This window comes from Homo sapiens, chromosome 18, assembly GCF_000001405.40.
Source record: "Homo sapiens chromosome 18, GRCh38.p14 Primary Assembly".
Lineage (NCBI taxonomy): Eukaryota > Metazoa > Chordata > Mammalia > Primates > Hominidae > Homo > Homo sapiens.
The window spans coordinates 3384345-3394885 of NC_000018.10; the positions used below are offsets into that span (position 1 = coordinate 3384345).

At 39.9% G+C, this 10541-nt stretch overlaps 3 annotated features.

Moving 5' to 3' along the window:
• Positions 320–689: an enhancer, noted in NCBI's record as "active region_13044". NCBI's record gives its function as "activates an Ori minimal core promoter by ATAC-STARR-seq in GM12878 lymphoblastoid cells {active_cell/tissue: GM12878}" and the evidence as "EXISTENCE:reporter gene assay evidence [ECO:0000049][PMID:35858748]".
• Positions 320–1589: a biological region, named in NCBI's record as "MED14-independent group 3 enhancer GRCh37_chr18:3384732-3385931".
• Positions 390–1589: an enhancer, noted in NCBI's record as "MED14-independent group 3 enhancer chr18:3384732-3385931 (GRCh37/hg19 assembly coordinates)". NCBI's record gives its function as "activates an origin of replication core promoter dependent on BRD2, BRD4, P300/CBP and CDK7 cofactors, and independent of MED14, by STARR-seq in HCT116 cells {active_cell/tissue: HCT116}" and the evidence as "EXISTENCE:reporter gene assay evidence [ECO:0000049][PMID:35650434]".

The following is a 10541-nucleotide window of genomic DNA, read 5'->3' on the forward strand; positions in this document are numbered from 1 at the left end:
CGTGAGCCACCGAGCCCAGCTTTTCTTTTCTCAACCTTGTCTTGTGAAATTTTATGTTGAGGCTTGTAAGTTATTTTCTAGTACTTTAAACACAGTAATTATTTTGGACCACATGTAATAGACAATTAATGCAGTTAAATTCCCCTGGCCTGAAGTTTATGCTTTTGGTAAATTAAGGAAATTGTAAAGAGCAAACATTCTACCTTGTTGGAATTTGGCTATAATGGGCCATCATGTTGCATGGCTGGATGGTGAATGAGAAGATGAAATTGGGGTCAGGAAATTTTAAAGCTGGAAGAGATCTTAAATCTTGGCCAAATTAAATTTACCAGACTTTAATTGAGAAAAGAACAATTCGTGAACTGGACAGCCTTCCGGGCCAGAGGAGGCTCAGAGACTCCAGCTCAGCCACGTGTTGGAAAGACGTAAATAGAGAAAGGAAAGTGACGAACAGAAAATGGAAGTGAGGTACAGAAACAGTCAGATTGGTTACAGCTCCGTGTTTGCCTTATCTGAACACGGTTTGAACAGTTGGCCCCCTTTAAGTTGCCAAAACTTGGTGATTGGCACAAGAGTAGGTTACAGTCTGTTTACTCTTCCATTTAGGTTATGGTTCACTAGGTACAAAGAAACCTTTAGGCCAAAGTTAAAATATGTAAGCAAGCTGCTTTGGGCTAAACCCGATTTAATACTTATGAATGCAGCATGGTTTTGCTCTTACGTGGCTCAGTTTCTGCTGGGTCATTCTGACACATGTGCCACCTGGTAATGACCTTTGATCTGAGGGGATTGGGAGATACTTGATAAATAGTATCCTCTTCTGTCCTGCCAGGGGACAATTCTAGGGTGAATTATACATGGCTTCTCAGAGACTTTCCAGCAGGATTATACTCCAGTTACCTAAAGCAATGAACAGTTTGAAAATGCACCCTTCCCCTATTTCATCCTGTCCAGTCCTTCCCACCATTAGAACCACTTCCCAACATCAACGATCTGCATGGGAGCACATTTCTCAGGCTCTGTTTGAAGACACCCACATTCCATACAGCCTTTCCTGGTGCCTCTGAGTCCTGGGCTTCTCAGTTTCTCTAGATAATTGTCTTACTTCTCATGGTGCCCTGCTCTGCCAGGGTTAGGAGCGCATCCAAATTCCCTGCCAAGGTAGTGGAAATTCCATCATAAGTTTACCACCTTGCAAATATCTGTGGATATTTGCTGTCTCCTTTTCCCATTCTCTTTGCTCTTGTAAGTTTCAATATTTTAATTTTGTATTGTTATTTTAGCTGGGGAGCACTGCAATATACAATAATCAAACTTTTTTTAAAACTCACAGATGGACTCAATAGCAGAATGGAAGTGACAAAGTGAAGATTTAGTGAACTTGAAGACAGAACAAAAGAAATGACTAACCTAATGACAGAGAAAGAAAAAAAAAGCAGAGCTTCAGATTTCAGGTATTATTGGGACTATAACAAACGATCAATCATTCATATCATTTGCCATTTTTTGGCACCTTTTGAAATATCCTTATGGTATTTCTCCTTTTTGTGTTGTTACGTTGTTGCTAATACGGTGAATTGCATTGATTGATTTTTTAAAAAACAGTAGGCCAAGCTTGCATTATCTTAGTGAGGATATATTACCCTTTTTGTTTATTAGTTGGATTTTATTTGTTAATATTTTGTTAATATTTACAGCTGTATTCATGGAGATATTGAAGGAAATGACATATAATAGAAAAATATGAAAGTAACAATGATCTGGATTTAAACGCATGTGTTATAGTAACAAAGACCAAGGAACACTTGGCTGTTAAGAAATGCAGACATGTATTATGTTTCTTATCTTAAATGGGGGTAGAGAGTTGGGCATAGCACCATGTCACTTTTGGTTTTGTCGTTTAGAGAAATGCTGATTTATTTGAAAAACTTAAAGGTGCTCACTGGCAGAATTTAAAAATCAGTTATGAGACAAAATAACACAAGAAAGATCAGCTATCAGTTATAACAATGAGTATAAATAAATTAAATTCCTTATGAAAAGACAAAAATTCTCAGACTGACTTGAAAAAAACAGCGTCCAACTCCAAATGTATGGTATTTTATAGGGTTACCATTAAAAACAAGTATCAGAGGCCAGATGCGGTGGTCCAAGCCTGTAATCTCAGCACTTTGGGAGGCCAAGGCAGACAAGGCATTTTTGTACAAAAAATACAAAAACTAGCTAGTTAATGTCTGTAATCCCAGCTACTCAGGAGACTGAGGCAGGAGGATGACTTGAGCCCGGGAGGCGGAGGTTGCAGTGAGCAGTGACTGCGCCACTGTACTCCAGCCTGGGCAACAGAGCAAGACTGTCTCAAAAAAAAAAAAAATCAGAAAACATTAAAAGTGCTTTCTTTCCTAGTTTTCTAACAACTTAAAAGTGCAGATGCTGAATTTTTTTATGCTTTCTTAAATATGCTGCTTTAAAAAAAACTGTATTGGACTATTAATATAACACATTATAGTAACGCATTTTCTTTCTTTCTTTTCTATTTTTGAGACAGAGTCCTGCTCTGTCACCCAGGCTGGAGTGCAGTGGTGCAATCTCAGCTCACCGCAACCTCCCCCTCCCAGATTCAAGTGATTCTTGTGCCTCAGCCTCCCAAGTAGCTGGGATCACGGGCACTACAGCTGGCTAATTTTTGTATTTTTAGTAGAGATGGGGTTTTGCCATATTGCCCAGGCTGGTCTCAAACTCCTGATCTCAAGTGATCCTCCCACCTCGGCCTCCCAACGTGCTAGGATTACAGGCGTGAGTACCACACCATGCCAGTAATACATTTTTTACTATTGAATTATCCTGTAGTTTCTGATATAAATAAGAAAAGAAAAGATGGCCAAAGGTTTATCAAACATGCCTAAACAAAAAGCAAATACATAAAGCAATGATAACAATACTAATATACAGAGAAGAAATCAAGGCAAAAGCCTCAAATGAGATACAAATGGCTATTTTATTTCACTGTATTTTTTGCTTATTTATCTTTGAGAGAGAGAAACCATACTCTAGGAAGCAGAGATAATACAGAACCTTATAAAATTTAAAGTTTAATTTTACTTTTGTCACACCCATGAACCCAGCTGTTCCTGAAAGGAAACCACTGTCCCATATGTTAATAAAGGTTACACTTCATGTACTTGGAAACTGTGAATACTATTGTGTCCAAATATAAATGCAGAAGAAGAAATGAATAGCATGCTACAGGATTTATTTATTTTTAGAGTGGGGGGGTCTCACTATGTTGCCCAGAGTGAAGTCCAGTGGCTATTCACAGGCCCAATCTCCTGGGTTCAAGCAATCCTCCCACCTCAGCCTCCCAAGTAGCTGGGACTATAGTATGGGATATTTTAATATATCATTCTCAGTCTCTGACAAACTTCACAAGCAACAGATAAACTAGACTATGGATGTTATAGTAAAATCAACAAGCTTACTTTAATAGCTGCATGTTATGTTGTACAATGGAGAATATACTTTTTTCCCGATGTAAATGAAATGTATTAGTCAACAAAGAAAATACTGATAAAATTTAAAAGCAGAAAACATATAGCACACATTATCTGACCACAATGTGCTAAAACAAAAAACTAGTAATGAAATTTTAAATTCTAAAGAATCAAGATACTTGGAATTTTAACTATAAATGTATTTAAACATTAATATGCATTACATAGAGGAAGAACTTCTAGATTCTAGAATCAATTTCCTTCAAATATTTTTTTCTCGTAGACTTATGTACATAAAAAATTATGAATTGAGCTTCAGTTTTACAATGATACAAGAAAAACATTGATTTTTATCCCGTGAAAAAAGGCATATAGATTTTGTTTGTTAACCTTATGAAGTTATAGACCACATGAAGTTGTGTATAAAAGTACAGTGGGCATGCTACTCATGGAAGAAAGTGGCATTTTCCTTGAATGGATTTGTTTTTTGCTGATCTTTGTCATCATGGCCATTGAAATCAGTAAGAGAAAAAAGAAAAAAATGAAATAGCAAACACTTCAACAATTATCTGGCATATATACCAGATAATTTATTAGCTATAAAGAAAGAGAAGTAAGGCCGGGCATGGTGGCTTACACTTATAATCCCAGCACTTTGGGAGGCCAAGGCAAGAGGATCACTGGAGGCCAGGAGTTTGAAGCCAGTCTGGGCCAACATAGCAAGACCCCATCTTTAAAAAAACAAAAAAAAACAAATTAACCTTTAAAACAGAAAAAAAAAAAGAAGAAGAAGAAATAGAAGAGATGAGAGACTCAATAAAAGAAAAACTTGTCAAGATGTGGCTAAATTAAATAATATTTTCCCAACATGATAATATTATTTTGACATCATATTCTACAGTAAGAAGTGGCAGGGTTTTTGGTTTTGAGTCAACACCTCTTGTTACCATGAGATCACATCAACTGTGGCTTCCACATCCATTTTCAATGGTGCCTGCAAGGGTGTTTGATCAGTGGCAAATCAAATGAGGATTTGCTCTTTCCCCATGACAAAGCCTGTTGCTCTAAGTGAACTTTCATTAGTTTACAGCTGTGTGAATTTCAATCTTTTTCTTTATTTTAATTAATTTATTTTTTATTTTTGTAAAGATGGGGTCTTGCTATGTTACCCAGGCTGGTCTGGAATTCGTGGACTCAAGCAATCCTCCCACCTTGACCTCCCAAAGTGCTGAGATTACAGAAGCGAGCCACCATGCCCGGCTGTGTCTCTCAATCTTAAACTGCACCAGAGAAACACTCTGCCCTGAGGACTTCACATTAATATGATTGTTGTTTTAGTGGTTGACTCACTTCTCAGAATTTACCTCTGTCTGAGTTGATGCCAGAGTCTCCTGGGTTGTGACTTCACAAATGAGACACCTGAAGACATGGTGCTCTCACCAGGAGTCACAGACTAATGAAGTGGAATGGAGGGGTCCATTTGGGTTTTCTCCTTTGCGGTTCTTTGTATATTTAGGCTTTCTACAATGTTCCCCATGGCTAGTCTACATTTATTCTGTTTTATAGGATAGGTTTTGTTTTTGTTGTGTTTCAAGAACTTATTTAATGAGTTATTTAATGAGTCTTCTAATTCGTTATTTGGTTTGTTGCTATTCATTCTTTTTTTTAAAAAAAGAATATTGCTGTCATCCTTTAAACATTTTTTTATTTGCTTATTGAATTTTCAAAAAACTCTAGGATCCCACTTTTAGTGTAATAACCATTTCAACATTTTCTGCAGAATCAGAGGAGGTCTGTGGGGAGGAAATTGTCATTCTATGACACTAAAGCCCTCCCTACCACTCAAAGGAAACTGTCTCCAGCACCACAGTTCTTTAGATTCTCCTGTCTCTGCTTTTTTCCTGGAGCTCCTTAAATCTGTCACTGCATTAAAAGATTTCATATTGTTCTCATTTGAAAATTTTTTTTCCTTTTCCTTTTACAGGAGTAAAGTTCTTATTACGAGTTGCATAGTTTTTAAATTCCTACACGTCAGGAGAAACCTTTTTGCCTTCTCCCACTTTGATGCTAATAAGACTAAAAATAGAAATCTAGCTTCAAAAGCTCCATAGAAGGGAAGAGAGAAGGAAAGGGAAAGGAGAAAGGAGGGGAAAAAAAAGGGGATAGAGTTAAACTGGCCCAAAAATTCCATGACATTCTTGAATAACTTATGATTGCCCCAGGGCCCTTGTTTTGGTTGTGTATACTACGTAGTAATCCTAAAACTTAGTGGCATAAAGCAAAGCCCATTTATTTTTACTATCTCCAATGATTCTGTGGGTTAACTGGGCTCAGTTGGGCCGGTTTTCTGTCCCCAGTGATGTGGGCTGCTCCTGAACTCATTGGGGCTTTCCACCGGTTGACACTATTCTGATAGCTCCCTCCAGTGCTGGCAGGGATGCTGGCTGTTGGCTGGAGGACCCTCACTTGGCCCTTCTATGTGGCTTCTGCTTTCCACAGCATGACAACTGGGGCTGAGAGTTTCCAGAGGAAGGAAGTGGAAGCTGTCCATCCTCTTCAAGGCCAGGGCTGGAACTGGGGTGCTGCCCCTCCCTCTCCAGTGCTTTGAATTTGTTGGCTGTAGAGCTTCTCCAGAGGCGTCTTCAGGAAAATTCTCTCTTCCATCTGATATTTTGGGCTGTGGTATTTTCCCTCTTTTTGGTCCTGAAAACTTGTCTATATCTATCTTGCATATTTACTTGTAGCTTTGTAGTCTGCTCTCTTTCTTTGCTTTCCAGCACTCTGCCATTTTATTGCTTTGGCATCTTTTTTAAAATTTATCTTTCTTTGAGACAGGGTCTCACTCAGTTTTCCAGGCTTGAGTGCAGTGGCCCAATTACGGCTCACTGCAGCCTCAACCTCCCAGGCCCAAGTGAAGTGATCCTCCCGCCTCAGCCTCCTGAATAGCTGGGACCATAGGCATGTACTGCCACACTTGGCTAATGTTTTGATTTTTCATATAAACGGGGTCTCCCTATGTTGTCCAGGCTGGGTTTGAACTCCTGGGTTCTAGTGGTCTTCCTGTCTTAATCTCCCAAGGTGCTGGGATTACAGGTATGAGCCACCATGCCTGGCCTCCATTTGTAAATTATTAATTTGGTCCTTCTTTTGGACAGCAGTTGTTTCACGTACATTTTTTCAGGAAGATTTTATTAATGCTAAACTTATAAAGTTCTTACATATCTATATATATATACACATATATATATATATATATATATTTTTTTTTTTTTTTTTTTGAGACAGAGTCTCGCTCTGTCGCCCAGGCTGGAGTGCAGTGGCACAGTCTCGGCTCACTGCAACCTCTGCCTCCTGGGTTCAAGCGATTCTTCTGCCTCAGCCTCCCAAGTAGCTGGGATTACAGGCGCGCGCCACCACGCCCAGCTAATTTTTGTATTTTTAGTAGAGACGGGGTTTCACCATATTGGCCAGGCTGGTCTGGAACTCCTGAGCTTGTCATCTGCCCGCCTCAGCCTCCCGAAGTGCTGAGATTACAGGCGTGAGCCACCGCGCCCGGCCAGTTCTTGCATATTTAGGAATGTATTTCCCATGCTTTTAAAATTGAAAGATATCCTGGCCAAGTAAGAATTCTTGTGTTCTATTTCTTCTTCTCAACATTTCCCATTATCTTGTTCAGCTAGTGTTGCTGTGGATGGGAGTCTAAAGCCTGCCTGACATATATTCTTTCCCCTTAAAGTTGACAAGTTTCTTCCGCCTGGATGCTTGCAAGACTTTTCCTTATCCTTGAAATTAATTCATCAGGATATGTCTTAATCTTGTTAGAACTCATCAGCCTTTCCTGCATACATTGTTTCAACCTGAAGATTTAGATCTTTTCTTTCAGGAGAATTGCCTATGAAATCTTTGAATACTTTTCTGTTCCATTTTTGTTGGTTTTTCCCTGGGAATGCGTATTATGTGTGTGCTGAATCTTCCTTGCTTCTTTTCACATCTGTGACTCAGATGTTAGCTAAAGTCACTTGGCCCTTTGAGAACTAGATAACTGGTTAAGTCCCAGCCAGCTCCAAGACCTATAAAAACCATAGACCTCACAATGTCAACTAAATCCTGTCTCTGTTTCTCTTCATATTCCCACAGCTATAAAACACATACCTTTTTTTTAAATTGGTTTTCCCAAGAAAGCAACTAACACCAGCGTCCTTAAGCTTTGAGGGTTTGTGACCTTCTGTTCCTTGTTTCCTCTCTCATAGACGGTGGCCCCAGTCCCAAATTCTACCCCCATGTGGGTGCAGAGTAACTTCTCTCTTTCCTTAAAACCTTCTTACCAACTTAGCAAGCCTGGAGTTGGGAGTGGGGTGGGCTTGGGGAACTTAGAACTCACTTCTACCCTTACAATCTGCTCAACTGAAGGCTTTAGTTACAGGTGCATTCAGGGGTTCAAATGACGTCATCAAGCTTCTATTTCCCACTCTTCCTCTCAGGTTATGTTTGTCTCTGCCTCTTTTTGCATTTGGCCTCACTCTGTCCTGACACAAATATGTTCATTACATGTGGCAGGAGAGATGGCTGCTGGTAGTCCCAATCCTGTGTATAAACTTACAATTCATGGTATGAAAGCGAGACACTCCCTCCCTTTCCCAGTATTTCCTATATTAAATTTCTTGAAAGAAATATAACTGGACTTGATTGGGTCAATGCCCAATTGTATTGTGTAAACACGGCTGGGGTGGTGTGGTTGGACGGGGGTGGATTGTATACCCACCCCATAGCCAGGCCCATGGGAATCATATGGGATCTGTGAAGACCAATTCTCCAGTGTAAAGAGGAGTGTTTTGTTGAGAGGACAAAAGCAACAGATGTCTACCACACCTCACACTCTTTGGTATGGAAATGTGCCCTAGCTGTATTCTCTTTCCTTCCCCTGGATCATCCTGCCTCTAGTTAAGAGTTATTTTCAGGGCCTTTCAGAGCCTTTCACATATATATATATATATATATATCCTGTTAAAGATTTGGGGAACTTGCATGGGCTTGCATTTTCATCTCTCTTGTGATTCTTTTTTTCTTCTTCTGTCTTCCCAGTAGATTTCAGGGAGAGGAGTTAACGGTGGGAAGTTACTTTTATGAAAGGTCTTATGTTTGGTTTTGTTTTGCTTGCCTGTGAAATATGGTGGAATAAATAAGAATGGGGGAAAAGACTGAAGGGAAAATGACCTCATAAATGCCAATCTTTCAGAGAGAAATTGGGGTTGCTGCAGTGGTTTCACATACGAGGGGCTCAGTGAATTACGACAGAGCAATTCCATGGGTAAGAATGCCCAATCAGCTAGATACCTGAGTCAAAGAAAAATCTTGCCTTGAAGCTATTCATTGAAAGCAATACATACGTGTTGAGCACTTGAAGATTTGCTAGGCACTAAGCTAAGTACTGAGTATAAACATGGGTGATTAAAACAGACTATGTCTTAAGAGCTTGAAACCTTGCTTTTGTGTTGTATAAATCTTTTACTTCCTCCGTGCACTCCATTCTTTATTATAAATGATGCTTTTAGAAGATTTCACAGTATTTCTTTTCTTTTTTAAAAAATACTTTTATGTGTAATATAGCCACCATTTATTGAGGTCCTGTTGTGTTATATACATTTTATATACACTATCTCTAATCTTCTACAGACGAGAACACAGGTTTTGTTTTTCATTTGTTTGTTTGTTTGTTTGTTTTTTGACAGAGTTTCGCTCTTGTTGCCCAGGCTGGAGTGCAATGGCGCAATCTCGGCTCACTGCAACCTCCACCTCCCGGGTTCAGGACATTCTCCTGCCTCAGCATCCCGAGTAGCTGGGATTACAGGCATTCACCACCACACCCGGTAATTCTGTATTTTTAGTAGAGATGGGGTTTCTCCATGTTCGTCAGGCTGGCCTCTAACTCCAGACCTCAGGTGATCCACCCGCCTCCGCCTCCCAAAGTGCTGGGATTACAGGTGTGAGCCACTGCGCCCAGCTGAGAACAGAGGTTTAAGGAGTTATGTTGATTCCTCAAGATCAAGTGGCAGAATTTGAATGAAATGAAAGCAGTTTCGCAGAGATATCTGCACTCCCATGTTTATTGCAGCATAAGTCACAATAGCCAAGATACAGAAACAACCTATACAAATGTGGATGAATAAATGGATGAAGAAAATGTGGTATATATGTGTACTGGAAACACATATATACTTTTAAGAAGGAAAGAAATCCCGTCGTTTGTGACAATCTGGAGGATATTATGCTAAGTAGAGTAGGCCAGACACAGAAATGTCCCATGATCTCCTTTACATGAGGAATCTAACAGAGTCAAGCTCCTAGGAGCCGGGGAAGTAGAACAGTGGTTACCGGGGGCTGGGGAGTGGGAAAAATGGGAGATATTGGTCAAGAGGTGTGAAGTTTCACTTAGAAAATGAGTAAGTTCTGGAGATCTAATGTACAGTCTGCTGACTATGGTTGACAATACTGTATTGTCTACTTGAAATTTGCAAAGAGAGTGGATCTTAAATGTTCTCATCACACCACACAAATGGTAGCTATGTGAGGTAAGATTGTATTGTTAATCAGCTTGATTACGGCAATCATTTCATGATGTATTTCATGATGTGTATCAAAACATCGCATTATACCTTAAACACATACAACTTTTCTTTGTCAATTACAGCTCAAGAAAGCTGAGGGACAAAACCAGCTGGCAGAGCCAGGTTGGGAGCTGTAATCTCCAGTCTTTCTCCAACTGTGATTTCTCCCTCAAAGCTTTTCTTTGCATGTTCTCATCTCTGGCTCCCTAGGGTAGCTGCCTCCTACTCTCATGGTTCCTCTTTGTGACCCAGTTTACCTTTCCTACTGGCCGACACCACAGTATCTGGCCTGTCTTGGGTCAGGTGTCCATCCTTGGTCCAATCAGCTGTGAGTGGTGTGGGAGAGCTTATTAGAGGCAGAAGTCTCCTTAGAAGAGGATGTGAATGCTCATTCTCTCTCCTGCTGCCATGTGAAGAAGGACATGTTTGTTTCCCCTTCCACCATGAT